At 49.9% G+C, this 15,993-nt stretch overlaps 1 protein-coding gene across 5 annotated transcripts, besides 5 other annotated features; it reads right to left on the bottom strand.

The window, feature by feature from the left end:
- On the bottom strand, window positions 1-14,647 carry MYBPHL (myosin binding protein H like). 5 transcript variants are annotated; one of them, XM_017001175.2, is made up of 9 exons: window positions 14,483-14,647; window positions 5,805-5,893; window positions 5,127-5,253; window positions 4,686-4,825; window positions 4,419-4,578; window positions 3,870-4,006; window positions 2,747-2,933; window positions 1,842-1,885; window positions 1-100 (listed from the first exon to the last, which is right to left on the bottom strand). In XM_017001175.2, exons 1-8 carry the CDS (start codon window positions 14,625-14,627, stop codon window positions 1,875-1,877), a joined length of 996 nt encoding a protein of 331 aa, XP_016856664.1. In that variant the 5' UTR covers window positions 14,628-14,647; the 3' UTR covers window positions 1-100; window positions 1,842-1,874. The 5 variants fall into 5 exon arrangements, with proteins under 5 accessions (XP_016856664.1, NP_001252542.1, XP_016856662.1 ...); NM_001265613.2 differs by having other exon boundaries at window positions 1-224; XM_017001173.2 differs by having other exon boundaries at window positions 5,058-5,253.
- Window positions 4,330-4,901: an enhancer, noted in NCBI's record as "H3K27ac-H3K4me1 hESC enhancer chr1:109839316-109839887 (GRCh37/hg19 assembly coordinates)". NCBI's record gives its function as "activates a minimal SCP1, AML or CMV promoter by ChIP-STARR-seq in naive and primed H9 embryonic stem cells {active_cell/tissue: H9 hESC(naive and primed)}" and the evidence as "EXISTENCE:reporter gene assay evidence [ECO:0000049][PMID:30033119]".
- Window positions 7,969-8,479: an enhancer, noted in NCBI's record as "H3K4me1 hESC enhancer chr1:109842955-109843465 (GRCh37/hg19 assembly coordinates)". NCBI's record gives its function as "activates a minimal SCP1, AML or CMV promoter by ChIP-STARR-seq in naive H9 embryonic stem cells {active_cell/tissue: H9 hESC(naive)}" and the evidence as "EXISTENCE:reporter gene assay evidence [ECO:0000049][PMID:30033119]".
- Window positions 8,480-8,989: an enhancer, noted in NCBI's record as "H3K4me1 hESC enhancer chr1:109843466-109843975 (GRCh37/hg19 assembly coordinates)". NCBI's record gives its function as "activates a minimal SCP1, AML or CMV promoter by ChIP-STARR-seq in naive H9 embryonic stem cells {active_cell/tissue: H9 hESC(naive)}" and the evidence as "EXISTENCE:reporter gene assay evidence [ECO:0000049][PMID:30033119]".
- Window positions 14,165-14,904: an enhancer, noted in NCBI's record as "H3K27ac-H3K4me1 hESC enhancer chr1:109849151-109849890 (GRCh37/hg19 assembly coordinates)". NCBI's record gives its function as "activates a minimal SCP1, AML or CMV promoter by ChIP-STARR-seq in primed H9 embryonic stem cells {active_cell/tissue: H9 hESC(primed)}" and the evidence as "EXISTENCE:reporter gene assay evidence [ECO:0000049][PMID:30033119]".
- Window positions 14,905-15,643: an enhancer, noted in NCBI's record as "H3K27ac-H3K4me1 hESC enhancer chr1:109849891-109850629 (GRCh37/hg19 assembly coordinates)". NCBI's record gives its function as "activates a minimal SCP1, AML or CMV promoter by ChIP-STARR-seq in primed H9 embryonic stem cells {active_cell/tissue: H9 hESC(primed)}" and the evidence as "EXISTENCE:reporter gene assay evidence [ECO:0000049][PMID:30033119]".

Raw genomic sequence — 15,993 nt, forward strand, 5'->3', positions numbered from 1 at the left:
CACTGGGGAACCACATATTTATTTAGATGAATCCAAACCAGACATGGTGCCGAAGCTCCTTGAGGACACAGTCTCACCACTGGCGGGCTTCCTGGAGGCACTGAAAAGAGGGAGCACTTTGTAGCCATGACAGCAAATGGCCAGAGGACACCAGGCTGCTGAGGGCACCGTTGTCACGGTCCCTGGCTCCTGTGCCATGAATTCACTTCATTGCTGGGCACTGGCTGTGAGAGAGGGAAAGGGGCAACTAACACGAACACAAGTATCATTAACACAGAGAGGGAGGTGAGGGAGGGAGAGTTGTCTCTGCAAGCCGACTGTCGGAGAGCGCTTTCCTGAGAAGTCTGTACTTGTAACGCACCCCTTTAGGCTTTCATTTGCTACATACCAGTGAGAGCCTTAAATAAATGTCTTATGGGATCAAATTCATTTCCAATTTCCATCAGCCAGCAGCTACAAGTCAGAGAGGACACTGGGAACTTGTTCTCTTTAGTTCTGTCTCAAGCTTCTTTTTCGCCTTATGCATCACTTTGTTCACAACATAGCTAATGTGAATGACGGAAAATCTAAAAGAGCTGTCCGGTTCTAAATGATGAGCTGAGCTGTCTTTTGCCAATAATGTGCTGCTTGGGACCACACACCTAAAGGTTAAATTATAATTGACATAAATGAGAAAGAGGATTTTCTTCTCTTGGAAGGGAAGGAATCCATAAGCTTCAAAGTAAAAAACAAATATATTAATCCATTTTTTTTTACCATGCTCATGATCCTGAGGCGTTTACTCAGTCAGCAGGAGCAGCCTCCCCTGTCCTTACACACCCCACAGGCACAAGGTGCTGTGACTCTTGTGGGTTCCTGCACTCTGAATTGTTCCCTTGACATCTTTTCCTACAATACCTGCTCAGCTCCCTCCCACAGAATCTCCTTATGATTAGGTGGATGCTGTCACTCTTCTTCAGAGGACCATTCATTAGGTTTAATTCCTACCATCGACTTGAGGAGTGCAGACATAGAGAGGATATGACAAAAGCAGACTGCATCTACTATAAATTCTCTCCACAGGGATGACAGTATCGCTTTTAAAAATGGTTACAACAGGCTGGGCGCAGTGGCTCACGCCTGTAATCCCAGCACTTTGGGAGGCCAAGGCGGGTGGATCATGAGGTCAGGAGATCGAGACCATCCTGGTTAACACAGTGAAACCCCGTCTCTACTAAAAAAAAAAAATTGCCGGGCGTGGTGGTGGGTGCCTGTAGTCCCAGCTACTCTGGAGGCTGAGGCAGGAGAATGGCATGAACCCGGCAGGCAGAGCTTGCAGTGAGCCGAGATAGCGCCACTGCACTCCGGCCTGGGCGACAAAGCGAGACTCTGTCTCAAAATAAATAAATAAATAAATAAATATAAAAATGGTTACAACAGCTGGGCATGTCGGCTCTCACCTGTAATCCCAGCACTTTGGGAGGCCGAGGTGAGTGAATCACTTGAGGTCAGGAGTTCGAGACCAGCCTGGCCAACATGGTGAAACTCCATCACTACTAAAAGTAGAAAAATTAGCCGGGCATGGTGGCGGGCGCCTGTCATCCCAGCTACTCGAGAGGTTGAGGCACAAGAATTGCTTGAACCCAGGAGGCAGAGGTTGCAGTGAGCCAAGATGGCGCCACTGCACTCTAGCCTGGGCAACAGAGTAAGACATCATTTCAAAAAAAAAATGGTTACAACAAAAGTGGCCACCAGTGGATACATGACTGAAAGGCTCAGGAATGCACCTCTGTCCCTGACTCAACAACACTAGCCATAAACAGGAAGTAATCCAGTGAGACATCTTGCCTCTCTTTACTTACCTTTGTCAGAGTACCATGCCTTCTTAGGTGTCCTCAATTAGGAACTGTAATAATTCGGACATTTCTCAGTGTTAACATCTCAGAAATCTCTGAGAAACTTTCTTTCAGAGCATTAGAAAGGAATATTCTATTTCAGGTTCTTGGGGAGTCAATGGTGCTAATTAGGTAGTCTATACATAGAGAAGAACAGGACATGTAAGGGCTCATTCATTCTTGATCCATGCAACAAACATTTAGAGTGCCTACTGTGTGTCAGAAACTGGGCTAGACACTGGGGGGACAAAGGCAAATAAGACAATGTCCCTACCCTCAAAATGCTTATAATTTAATAGGGAAACATATCTATAAATAGATAATTATAAAACAGTATGTTAAACACAATGATAGAGATCTGAACAAGGTGACAGGTATAGATAAGTGATTAAATACTTTAAGGAAGTAGAGAGGATATGCAATATTACCTATAAATAAACCGGAGGGGAAGTGAAATAAAGCCTGACAAACAGTTGCAGCTTTCCTAGGCTGAGTCAGAAGATTGCACAGCATAAAGAAAAATGAGCTGAGCGAGGACCCGGAGACCTGGGCTATTTCCACCAGTGCCAGGTGATCAACTAACTGACACTGGGAATCTTGGGCAAACCAGTTCCCTCCCTGTACTTTCGTCTTCTCATTTGCAAAATGGAAATAAGAATTCTTCCTATATTATTGAATTGTGATGGAGAGAAATGAGATAGTAGATAATTAAAATGTCTCCTCCAATACATCCTGATGATGACAGTGATGAAAGAGTCCAGCGGAGGAACCCCTTCTCCCCCTAGGCTTGCGTCTCTGTTCCCTGACTCTTCCACCGGTGGAGAGAGGAGGTGACTGGCACCCTAAGGCACTAGTTCTCCTCTTGCCCTTACCTTTCACATCCACCCGACAGTCCACAGATGCCTCCCCTAGGGGGTTCACCGCCTTGCAGGTATAGATGCCTCCATCAAAGGGACCCGGCTTGCGGATCTCTAGGGAGCAGATTCCCAGGTGAGTCAGGGCTCTGTACTTAGGGTTGCCTTGGATATCCATCTTGTTCTTCAGCCAGATGATCTTGGGCTGGAAGACAAAGATGAGGGAGGCAGCAAGGAGGGGCGAGGGTAAGAACCAATAGTCTTTCTGTGCTCAGTTTCTGGGACTCTGTCTATATAGAGATAATGGCTTTCTGGAAGGCTCCCTGTTCCTTATGTTGTGGGAAGGGTTTCCCCTTCCAGTGCCACCAGCAGTCCCCCAAGCTCCTTCTCTTGTTTGAAAACAGCACCTGAAACTTCATTTTCTTTACCAATATTTCTGACTGGAAGAAAACTGCTAACTTCCGTTCCGGGCTCTCAGGCAGCCCCTTTATGGATCAGAAGCACTGAGCATCAGGCTCACCTCTTGTGAACCATCCATATTCTGTTCCCACTGCTGACTTGTGAGTTGCCTCTGTCCCCTCTGGTTAGAGAGTAGCTTCTAGAGTGGGCTCTTGATATGCCCCTTCTGAGATGTTATCTCCATGTAGTCTTGCCCAGACTCAAAACCCAAAAGATTCTTGGTACAGGTTGTTAATGGTGTTTTCTGCTGTGTGTGGAGCATGATGACTAGATTGTAAATAGACAGAGAGCCTTGCTCAGGGTTGTGGCAAAAGGCTGAACTCTAGGCAGGTTGCATGTGCACGGCCCTGATGGGATGAGGTATGCATGGGAAGGAGAAACCACAGGGACTCTGTCACTCCTACCACAGAAACAACTTGAGGCGCATGCCTAATTGCCAGCAGGTCAGTAAGCAACACCTCCATATATGAGAAACAAACATTCAAAAGGAAATGTCATTCTCATCAGTCCGTCTTGGACTCCAAGCACCCCCCCGACTGTTCCTAAATACCGTGCTGTAGAAGAGGCAGATGGCGGTGATGGTAACAGATGTTATGTTACAGTGCTCTGCAACTCAGCTTAGGTTAGGACAGGCAGGAACAAGAAGCAGCTCAGCACAGTGCCCCCCAGAGCCCCCACTCACCCGGGGAGAGGCGCGGACACAGCAGAAGAGCTGGGTATTATAGCCGGTGACTGTAGTGCAGTCGGCCAGAGGCTGGGTAAACTTTGGGGCTTCAGAGAAGTCTCGTTGGGCAAACCCCTTGGTCTTGTAAACAGTAGCTGAGGGCACCAAGAGGGGCTGGCATGTAGCTTCTGAGATCCCAGCCCTCGTCGACTCTTTATCCTTAGTATTTTTTTTTTTTTTTGAGGTGGAGTCTCACTCTATTGCCCAGGCTGGAGTGCAGTGGCACGATCTCAGCTCACTGCAACCTCCAACTCCCAAGTTCAAGCAATTCTCCTGCCTTAGCCTCCTGAGTAGCTGGGAGTACAGGCGTGCACCACCATGCCTGGCTAATTTTTGTATTTTTAGTAGAGATGAGGTTTCACCATGTTGTCCAGGCTGGTCTTGAACTCCTGACCTCAGGTGATCCGCCTGCCTTGGCCTCCCAAAGTGCTGGAATTAGAGGCGTGAGCCACTGTGCCCGGCCTATCCTTAAGTCTTCCCAGCTCATGATCCCCATGCCTCCCTTACCTGCTTTCTGGATGTGGGCGAGGTCCGTAGTGATGGGGGCTGTTTCACTGAGTCCGCACTGGTTTTCAGCAAAGACACGGAAGGCATAGGAGTTGCCGATGATGAGGTCAGAGACGATGCAGCTGGTGCGGTGATAGTGCTCCAGCACCGTGAACCACAGCTGCGGGGCCGAACATGATGCCAGAAATCAGCCACCCCATGTGGAGCTACCAGAGGCCTGTCCCAACATGCCCTCTTCCACCCTCCTTCCTTCCCAGCTGGCCTCACCCCGGATTTTGTGTCAGCCTTCTGCACCGTGTATCCCAGAAGTGCTGTATTCCCCGTATCTTGGGGCGGTGTCCATTCCAGTGTAGCGCTGAAGCCCCAAACGTCCACCAGCTTAATACTCTGAGGAGGGCCTGGCCTCTCTGAAAGGGCAAAGCCATGGCAGTGGGCGTGGAACATCCCACATGCATTGAAGTCACTTCAGGAGTGCCCTAGCCCCTTTTTCTCCTCAGTTACCCCTCCTGCGCCCACCCTGTGTCCCAGACATGACGTGGGAGCCTTGCCGCAGCTTCCCCAGCTCTCTGAGCTGGCTCCTCTTCAGCCTGGAGAGGGAGTTCCTGAGGACCCCCCCATCTCCCACTTCCCCCACCGTACCAATCACCAGGATGTCAATGGTGGCGGTGGCCTCCAGCCCACCCAGCTGCACGCGGAGTTGGTAGCGACCTGAGTCAGCACGTTGGGCTTCTCGGATGAAGAGGATGGAGTCTTGCTCCCCATTCCGCACACTCACACGCCTGGTGTCCAAGGCACAGCCATCATGTGTCCAGATGGCTTGAGGTTTGGGCTTGCCCTGAGGAATGAGGGTAATGCTTTGAGCAGCCCCGAGAGGCTTCCTGACTCTCCCTGCTGCTGTAGGGGTCCTGTCCACCCCAGGTCCACAGGGAGGCTTGACTTGGAGCTGCACATTCCTTGAGTTAGAAGTTGGTGGACCCTCCCGGGGGCCTCCTCCTTTCAGCAACAGCCTAAGGATCTTGGGAAAGAGGGATGGCTTTGAGTCTCCCAATCTCTGAGAGCTTAGGTCATGAACACCCGGGGCAGCTGGGACCAATTGAATAGCCACTCAAACTCCCAAGAACCCTTCTAACTGCAAGCTCTGAGGCTTCTGTAGACTGAAGGGCATGGATTAGCCTCACACCATCTCATGGGTGCACACCCAGTCCTATCCAAACCCACCTTCAGGAGTGCAGAGGTCATTTGGCCTCAGACTTCTGGTGGTGTGACCCCTTCTATCCAAGGCTGGGAAGATTGCCCCTCTGCTAGCAGGACTCTTGGTATCTGTTTCCAAATCCAAAACCTGCACTGGCCCCAGACATGGACCCAGTATGGGGCTGGCATGATCACCTGGAATGGGATTAGTAGGTTCACTGTGTCCCCAACCTTCCGGATGTAGGTCTGCCTCAGGGCCCGAGGTAGCCAGATCTTGGGGTGCTCTGAGTGATGGAAAGAGAGAGAATAGGAGATGGATACTCAGAGAAAGTAAATCCTGCATCCAGCTGCCTGCTGTGGGTGAGTGGCCCAGGAATCGGTCACCAAATTAAGCCCTTCTTAGAGGGGAGGGGAAGAGTGCTCCCATCATCCTGCTGGGATTTGGGGATGAGGGGTTGGCTTAAGGAACACCCCGGGAAACATTAAAGTCTCAGCAGAAGGAACACTGGAGTGCGAGTCTGACAGTTCTCTTAATTTGTAACTCTCAAGTACTGACTTTCCATCATCTGGAGGCATTCCATCCTGATGGAGGCATTTTTATTTTTCTGTTTGTGTACAGACCAGCCTGGTCTGTGTGGTTTGTCTTTCCACCCTTTTCTACATTTGTCCTTAATACCATTCCTTTTATCAAGGCCACTTTCCATGTCAATCCTGACCTCCCAGTTAGGTGTGGGTCTCAGGAGAATGCTCTCCATTCTGCAGGCAGAGTCAACACCCTGACCTCCCAGCCGCCCACGGAGACAACACTGATGTCACTGCAGACAGAGCACGTGTCTGGGTCCCTTCCTCTGCATGGCCACTCTGCTCCCGGGCGCCTGCACAGTCTTCTTCCAGTTTGCAGAGGATCATTTTGTACAGATTCTGGGACAGATTAGGTCCACCACTCATTTCCCTTTGATCTCACAGGTCTGTCCCAGTGAGAAGTAGAGATTAGATGATGTGTATGGGCTTCCAGGATGAAGACAGGAAATGCTTGGAAAAGTGCTGAGTGTAGGTTTGGAGATTGACCAGGTATCATTTCTCTCCTCTTGGGATGCCTCACACTGTCTCAGCTGCCGAAGCACAAACATTCCACCTGCGTTCCCTCGGGGGCCTGGCTGAGACAGACACCATTTTCTGGCCTTTTCCTGGCTGCTGTCTCCTCCTTTCTCAGGCACAGGCAGTCGCCTGGCTGATATTATCTTCAGTAGAATGTGATAGTGCTTCAGTTCCCAACAACCCAGGATTCTTGCCACAGTTCATTCTTGGCAGTTGGAAGAACTTCACCCCTGGTACATTCCTGTGGCAAACAGCATGACTGCTCGATAGTGGATTCCAGACTCTTTGATAGCACACACTTCTGTGAAAATACTTCCCTGAGCATTCACTATGACATATGTATGTTTACTTATAGATGAACTGTTTAAATACATACATTACATAACACAAACATGTAAGTGACGCAACTGAAACAGAGCTTCTTCTGTGTCCTTCCTCCAGCTCAATCAGCAAGCATTGTCCAGAGAACTTCACTCTGAGTCTCCCCATGATAATCTCAAGGTCGCGAGACCTTTGCAAATGAAGATCAATGGCAATGTACAGTGCACACGGTCCGTTTGGTTTCTGCAGTTTCCTTCTGTGCTGTGTGGCTTATGTTTTCACCTGGGCTGTGCCTGTCTTAGACTGCACCTCAGGAATATGTGACGAGGGGACTTGATGGGCCTGAGTGCCCGTCCTCCCTGCCCTGCTCAGGTCTTGACTGCCTCAGCATAGATGCAGCAGCTGCAGGCGGCTGAGTGACCCTGCTGTGGCTGCCCTCGGCTGGGCTCTGGTGGCTTGGGAGGGGCGGGACATGAAGAACAGAAGAAGCGTTTGTGTGATGGGCTTCTCTCCTGTGGCCATCTTGGCAAGCAACCAAAGAGTTGAAGACGGGCGGATATGACTTAATAGTGTTTTGAAAAAGAGGGCCGTACTTGGAAAGGAGGGTCAAAACCTCATCTTGTCAGGCTTGGTTCCCCACTGTTGGGGGAGGAAATAACCCTTTCTACATTTGCTGGGGAGAGGGCTGGAGAGAAGCTGGCTCTGCTGTCCCTGTGCCGCCTGCCTACAGAATGTCGGCATTAGGAAGGGCCTGTAAGCACCAGAACAAGGATGCTGGGAGCAAGAGGGCTCCGAGAAAGAAGCCGGTATTCTGGAGACCTCCCGGCTAGCTGTGACGACGTGCCTGGCACCAGAGACTCCTGCCTCCCCATCTAAGATTGTGTGTCTGAAGGACCCATTCTCAGAGCACTAGCTGTGTCTTGCCCACCAGTGTCCACCCAGCAATGAGCACCATAGTCAGGGCTTGGACAGTGGCCTGCCCCTGGAGGGAGGAGGCCCAGAGGGAAGGCGGGGGCTAGACATACCCAAGAACTGCAAAGGGTTGAGGTGGGGAGAGGAACCCAGGCCTTCATGCCTGACAGAAGTGCCCGCTGAGCCCCGCCCTGCTGAGACCTCAGGTAGGGAATGGGCTGTTATGGGTAGCTGTGAGCTGATGTATGTGTTTCCACCTAGTGTTTCTTTTGTTTCTTAGAAAAACACCTGGGAAAATGTTAGCATTCTTACACCTGAACTAAAGAGAAAAATGAAAGAAATGGGTTTATGTGGAACATAAGCTAAGGTGTGGGAGTTAGAGGAAGAGGAGCAGACTGGCCCTTGGATCTAGAGGGGATCCTGGCTGGGCAGAGAGCAAGGAAGGAGGCTGCCCGCGAGAGCAAGGAAGGAGGCTGCCCGCGAGGACGGCAGTCTCTCCCTCCCTGGACGGCTCCATTGCCGGTTCTCTGCTTATCAGTGGGTTTCCTGACAAGATGACGAAACTTAAGTCTCTAGAATGGACTCTGAGGATGTGTAGGTGAGGCCTCTGCTCCCAGCAGGCTCCCGGCTCCCTGTGGGAGGGCAGAGTATGGACGTGAGGCTAACTCAGCTGACTACGTGCAGAGGTGGCAGGAGAGAGTGTGGCAGCTTCAGATGCCCAGTCAGCAGGTCAGCAGCATGCTCTCCAATCGCCTCTCAACCCAACCCAGGCGCAATCTGACTCTTTGCTAAGAATGTGAACGCCGGGGCTCATTTGAGGCATCTCTTTTCACACATCCGCAGTCAAGCGAGGTGTAAATTGTACTGACCTTGGGGAGGCATGGCTTCCCCTGATGCCCAAGGTCTTTCTCCTCCTTAGATGACAGGAGGGATGTGAACCAAAGCCTAGAGTCTTTAAGAGCCTAGGTTTTCTAAGAGCAGGTCTGTGAGAGTCACAGTTTGGTTTTCTCCCTTCATGGGGTCTTAGAGAAAAGGCATCTTGAAAAGTCCTTTGAGGGCCTTTGGTTCTGAGTTAGGCTCTCTCTGTACAATGTTTCTCTCAGACAGGATGCTGTTTAATTCTTTCTAAAAAATTCTTAGAGAAAACTACTTCAGGCCGGGCGCAGTGGCTCATGCCTGTAATCCCAGCACTTTGGGAGGCTAAGGAGGGTGGATCACCTGAGGTCAGAAGTTCAAGACCAGCCTGGTCAACATGGTGAAACCCCATCTCTACTAAACATACAAAAATTAGCCAGGTGTGGTGGCGGGCACCTGTAATCCCAGCTACTTGGGAGGCTGAGGCAGGAAAATCGCTTGAACCTGGGAGGCAGAGGTTGCAGTGAGCCGAGATTGCACCATTGCGCTCCAGCCTGGGCAATAAGAACAAAACTTCATCTCAAAAAGAAAAAAAAAAAAAGAGAGAAAACTACTTCAAGTCCAAAGATCTTGACTTCTGATTAGAAAATTCCTCCTAATACCTACCCTACTTTTATCCTGCTAAAGTTTATGCCTGTTTTACTATTCTATAATTGTTCCTATCCTCTCATAATTCCCTTTTATGGGATCAGTCTTTCTCCAGAGGCTCCCTAGGGGCTGTATAGTTCAGACCGATGTTACTAACTATGACCTGGAGAGCCAAGAACCAAGATGGAAGCATTGGAGAAGTGGAGAGGGTGTGTGTGTGTTTGTATGAGTGTGTATGTATGTGTGTGTGAGTGTATGTGTGTGAATGTGTGTGTTTGTGTACGTGCATGAATGTGTGTATGGGTGTGTTTACGTGTGTCTGTGAATGGTGTGTGTATGTGTGTGTATGAGAGTGTGTGTGTGAGAGAGAGAGGGAGCCTGCATACACACGTGCCTATGTGGGTGAAGGGTTACCAAAAGAGGGCGAATGCAGGAGGCTAGCTATGGCTTTGAAACTATCCAGAGGTTTCCAGAAATCCAAGAAGTACCGGGATTTCTTAGAGAAACATTACCAGATGCCTAGGATGTGGCCTTGGTCTACTCAGAAACCTGTCTGGAGGAGTGCAATGGGAAAGGAGTGGTACAAGAGTGTCACTTTCTTGAAGGCCATGAAACTAAGGTCAGAAAAAATAAAAGGACATAGGAACAGGCAACACTTCTCTGAGGAAAAGACTCCACCCCACCCCGTCCCTATGTTACAGTCGTCCCCCTAGTGCTTGATGGTTTTAGCCCTGGCTCACTGTCTCTCCAACACCCTCTCCATGCGGTATGCCTCTCCAGGCATAACTCCTGCTGGTCCCAACACCCATGTTTCCAGTCCCCGTAGGGTCTCTCACATCTGGCCCACCACTCCTCCAATAACTTTGTCCTCTCCTAATTCAGCCAATGGTCCCTGTGGCCATTCTCTAGACCAAGAGCTACAATCCTTCTATGATCAGAATTACAAGCATCCCACTGTCTCATCACCACCTCTATAACAGAGATGGCTAACTGGCCAAAAAAAATGTATGTTACCCCTTCCGTAGCGTAGCTATCTCTGAGAAGTGGCTGCCCGGCCACCTTTTGCTGGATGGCTACGCGACCAGTTTTTGCCAATGAGACGTAAGTGGCAATGGTGAGAATCACATCTGGTCCCAGGCTTTGAAGAAGTTAGATTTCTATTTTCCTCTTCTGCTAGCTGTACACAGATGATCACGGGCCCTAAGGAATGGCAGAGCCCCAAGATGAAAGAGGCCTGGGTCCTTGGATTACCACATGGAGGAGAACTATCTGCAGAATAGTTTTTAGTTCTTACGCTAGTGAGAAATAGATGTATGTCATTCCTGAGACCTGTTTCATTCACTAGTATACCTAACTAATATAATCTTTATCCCTTTAGCTCACTTCCTCCAGTGCTCCAACACCAGCAATTCTTTGGCACCACTGAGATCTGTGATCCATTGTCCTACCACCCTCTCACTACCTAGCACCCCTTTCATGTTAGCACTTTCTTCACCACCCAACTTAGATTGCACGGTCATTATTATACTCTCTCTCTTGCACTCACTCAAATCCCTGAGTCCTCTTTGACTTCATTGCACTCTCTTGGCAATACCTAACCCTTGTTAAATAAACTTCCCACCCACTCAGTGGCTGTATCTGCACAGAGTAACAGGACTGGGGGAAAATACAAAATTATATGGAGTTTAACTTGAGGGCCATTAATAGTGACCACCACCTCCAAGTGAACTCTGGCAATTCTACTAGACTTCCCAAGTTCACTCGGTCTCCCATTGTCCTGGGTGACTATCGCACACCTTTCTCTTCTAAAACCTCCCTACCTTCTCCCTCATTCTCATTCCCAGTTGTCGATCTTGCTAGTGTCTAAGGCCCACCTACAGTCTATTCTTAACATGGCCAGCTGGAAAAATCCTTAAAATCTACACTTGGTCCTGTCAGTCCTTACTCCCAGTCCCTGCACTGGCTGGCTGGCTGTCTCGTAGACAAACCAAAGTCTTCACAGCGGCCGTGCTACCTCTCAGACTGAAATACTGCCACTGTCTCCCTCCCTGTGCTACAGCCACAATGGCCCCAACCCATAAAGCACACTCCTGCCTCAGGGTCCTTGCAGTTGTTCTCTCTGTGTGGAAAATATTCCCCCAAATATCTGCATGCATTGCTTTCTCACATCCTTTAAGTTGCTGCTCAAATGTCACCTTATTAGTGAGACCCTCACTGAATATTCCATTTGAAGCAGGAAGCCTGCATGCTTCCTACCCGAAGCACGTTCTATCCCCGTCCCTGCATTAGTTTTGGCACAGCATTTCTCACCATCTGACATATTAGATACTTTACTTGTTTATTTATTGTCTAGCTCCCTCCACTAGAATCTAACTTCCATGAGGGCAGTTATTTTTACCTATTTTGTTCATTTCTGTAATTCTGGCACCTAGAAGAGCGCCTGGCACATCATAGGCACAACCTAAATATTTGTGGAAGGAAGGAGGAGGAAAGGAAGGACGGAAGGAAGGAGGGAAGAAAGGTCACTCCTAGGCATGAGATTCAGTTTCCCATGCCTGGAAGACACAGAACAGTTCAGATTGAAAGAGAACACAGAGTCAGTTGGAGCGATGATGCTGAAGTCAGCAGATGGGCTCTTTCTCCTCCACCTCAGGGTCCCAGGGAACGCCTCTTTGCTGAGAGGCACACAGAGACCATCGTGAAGGGGAAATTGAATGCTTCTTCCAGGAGAGCTCCACTTCCGTGGAGCTCAGACTCTGAGGGGTCAGGATCTCCTATGGGAGCAGTGGGGGATTGGAGGAGGTCCTGACCCCGTGGTACTGCCCAGCAGGAGGCCGAGTGTCACATTGTCCATGGGAGGGATGCAGCTTGTTCCCCAGCCTCTCCCTGTTTTGGAAGCTCTTCTCTGGCCCCTGCCAAGCTTTGTCTCCAGGACACAGTACTCAGTGTAGTGCTGAGGACAGACATAGAACTGTTTACCAATGCTGGCCACCTACTCCTGCTTATTTAGCCATGTAGCAGGCTTGCCAAACTAAAAGCTCATTGTTGGCCATTTGCAGTTGGTTTTGATCTTGCAAATTAATTTCTATTTCTGATGCCTGCTCTAGTTCCCATGTTTTCACATGCTTCCTGTGATACTCAGTCCCAGAGCTCTCTGTAAGGAAGAGGAGTTAGGAGGAAGAAAGGCTTTGGAGCTCTCAGGGGGCTTAGGGGTCATCTAGTCCAGGCCCATGCATTGCACCCTGAAGGATCTTTGGTGGGGGTTTGGGGCTCTGTTGGCTCTCTGAACTTTTTTGTGTATTTTTCCAGGGGCAAGAGTCCACAGCTGGCATTAGATTTTCCTAGGGGTCCATATCCACCAAAAGGTTAAGACCCTGATTTGGTTCAACTCCTCAATTTACAGATGAGAAAATGGGAGTGGATTGACTTGCCTAGGGCCACAGAACAGAGCTAAGATTTGAACTCATGACTTCTTTGTTCCAAGTAGTTAACAGATGCACATATATTTTGCAAAGTATTCAAAGGTGTTCTTATTGCCAGTGACTTCTGGGATACCACTGGGTTGAGCCACTGGGTGCTAGTGGCCCTGAGGCCTGCAGTGTACAGAGCTGCTGCACACGAGAGGCTTTGGGCTGCATTTGCGGGCCCGTGACTGGGGGCTGTCAGGAGCTGGCTGCAGCCAGAGGGGAGAAGCATGGGGGAGATGAGCACTCTCCCTTGTGCTTTTGGGAAGACCAGTAGAGAGAGCTGAGGCGTCAGCAGTCCTGGCTCTCATTCTCCTGCTGCCTGTCACTTATTCTCTGGGCCTTTTAAGGGAAGAAACTGGTTTTCTGCCTCCATCACCCCAGCTTAATATATTTACACTAACTTTTGCTCCCTTCATCTTCAACGGGACAAACTTGGCCAGCTCTCTGCCCTTGACATTCAAATAGTTTCTGGAAACCTGGCCTCTCCCATGAGGATAAGAGGCAGACAGAGTCTGCTGCACAACCCTATGGAGGTAGAACGCAGCCTTCACCTCTCACTTGGAAATATTTGATCATTTATTTACATCTTAGTTTGGCCTCTTCCAAGGCACCCTGGATCATCTCAGCAATCCTTTCAACTACCCTGATAGGTAGATGTTATTAATCACCATTTTACAGAGTGAAAATGGAAACTGAGCAGTCCAGTGACTTGTCCAAGGTCACAGGGCTGTTAGAGGCGGCACTAGGAATTGAGCCTAGAGCTTTGCCTCCAAGTCTAGTATATCTTTTCCCCTGCCTCTTCCTGCCCTAGGAGTCCACGTGTTTCTTGATTGTGGTCTTTTCATCCTCTTAAGACTTTCAGGTGAGCGCCACGAAGTGGTTAGCTACAGAGGCCTCAGCCAGGGCATTCAGGGATGGGCGGCAGGAAGCTCGGGGTTGGAATTCCTCACTTGGGAACGCCTCTTTGCTGAGAGGCACACAGAGACCATCGTGAAGGGGAAATTGAATGCTTCTCCCAGGAGAGCTCCACTTCCGTGGAGCTCAGACTCTGAGGGGTCAGGATCTCCTATGGGAGCAGTGGGGGATTGGAGGAGGTCCTGACCCCGTGGTACTGCCCAGCAGGAGGCCGAGTGTCACTGTGCTGCCCCACTCTTAGCCTCCCCATTGCCATAGCATTTTATTTCCCTGTTCCTTCAGCAGACAGTCACTATCTCTTACCCCTCAGTCCCTTCCTGACTGGCCATTAGTATATCAGGTCTTCCCAGTCCCTATGACAATTTTTTAAAAGGTAAAAATATAAACAGATCATTTTTAGTCACTGTAAAGTGCCACCAACACCATCACTGACTTCTCAGCTAAAACACAAAAACTTAGCAGGGACATTTGAGCAGCAAGTTAGACTCCATCAAGGACAGGGGATGGGGGCTCTCACGAATGATCTCCAGCCTAATCACCAATCCTATAGAGTCTTTAGCTCTGCAGAAAACCTGAGGCGCCGTTCAGGAAGGTGGCGATGTCTTCCCCAACTCCCACCACCCGGCCTCCCCACCCTCCCCACCTGCCATGGGTCACCTTCTATAGGGGGCAGGAGCTGGGGAGTGGGGCTGCCAGCCCCCTGTCCAGGTGAAGCCTGGGGTGGTTCAGCATCCGCTGGGCTGGCTTCTTTCACCTTCAGCTTGGATCCTGCGGCCACCTCCGGAGCTGTGGCTGCCTCCATGCTGGGCCTTCCCAGAGGCTGAGCTCCAGCTCTAGATTTTCACTGCTGGTGATGAGGGAGGGGCTGAGCACCTGCTCCCAGGCTGGCCTCCCGGGTCCCAGCCACAGGGTTACGTAACTGGGCTGGCCCTCCCCACTCAGCTACGCCCAGCAGAAAGGCTGAAGTAGGGGTTGGGGGAGAGAGGAGGATCAGACAGCAGCCCAGAATAGCCCCAGGAGGACTGAGGTGTCCCTGTTATCTCGGGAGAGAGATGACACCCCCCACAGCACCAGGGAGGGAGAGCTTGAACACACCATCCAAAAGGGACCTCTAATTTCTGTAGGGAGGGTTGAGTGACATCTCTGCTCCTGACCTCCAGTTCATCCCGTGGGGCATTCAGGTCCCAAAGAAGGGGCCCAGGATTAGCTGACTCACAGCAACGCCTGAACTGCTCTTTCTCCCTCTGCTCCCACATTCAATGAATTGTAAAGTCTTATCAACTCGACCTTTACAGGGCCTGTCCCATCCTCCCCCGCTCCCCGGGGGCAGCGGGCACAGCGCAGTGGTAGGTGGAGACTGCACTCGCACTGGCTGCCCAGGTGCCACTTGGGGCTCTGTCACCAACTAGCTGTGTGACTCACAACACCTCACAGTCTCTCTTCAGTCTGTTTCCTCATCTGTAAAATGGAGATAATTATAACCATAGGGTCGTTGTGAGGATTAAAGAGGTAATCTCTGTAAAGTGCTTAGCAGAGTGTAGCCGACTAAGTGCTTGATAAATGTAAGCTATTTTTAGGTCAGGCCAGCACTTCCCCCTTTGAGAGCTGTCAATGGCTGCCTTGCCTATTAGATGAAGTACAAATAAAGGGAGAGGCAGCAGTGGTGGAGGGAGGCGAGCTCAGAGACCTGCGTGTGACTTCTGGCTGTACCACTCACTCACCAGCTGGGACTCTGGGCAAATGGCCGACTCGGAGTCTCAAGTCCCAGTCTATGAAACAAGGGATGATGCCATGATTGTGTTGAGGATAAAATGATACAATCTATAGGAAAGTGGCCAGCTCACAGCAGGTGCTAGTCACATACTACAGGTCCTACATGATTTCCAGACTTAGCAAACCATCTTTCTATACGTGTTGTACATGCCATGGACACTGCCACCTATCATACTCCTACCTTCTTATCTCCAGAAGCCAGCATCCCTCTGCATTTTAAAATGCTTTAATTTTAGAGCAGTTTGAGAGTCACGGCAAAGCTGAGTGGAAAGTATAGGGTTCCCACAGCCCCCTACTCACCCCTGTATTTTTTTCATGGAAAAAAAATGGGTGCAGTTGAACAAATGGACTGACTTCTTACTCATTTTTGCCTTCAATTTTGGGGTAATTGGTAA

The sequence above is a fragment of the Homo sapiens genome, chromosome 1 (genome assembly GCF_000001405.40).
Source record: "Homo sapiens chromosome 1, GRCh38.p14 Primary Assembly".
In the NCBI taxonomy this organism is placed as follows: Eukaryota; Metazoa; Chordata; class Mammalia; order Primates; family Hominidae; genus Homo; species Homo sapiens.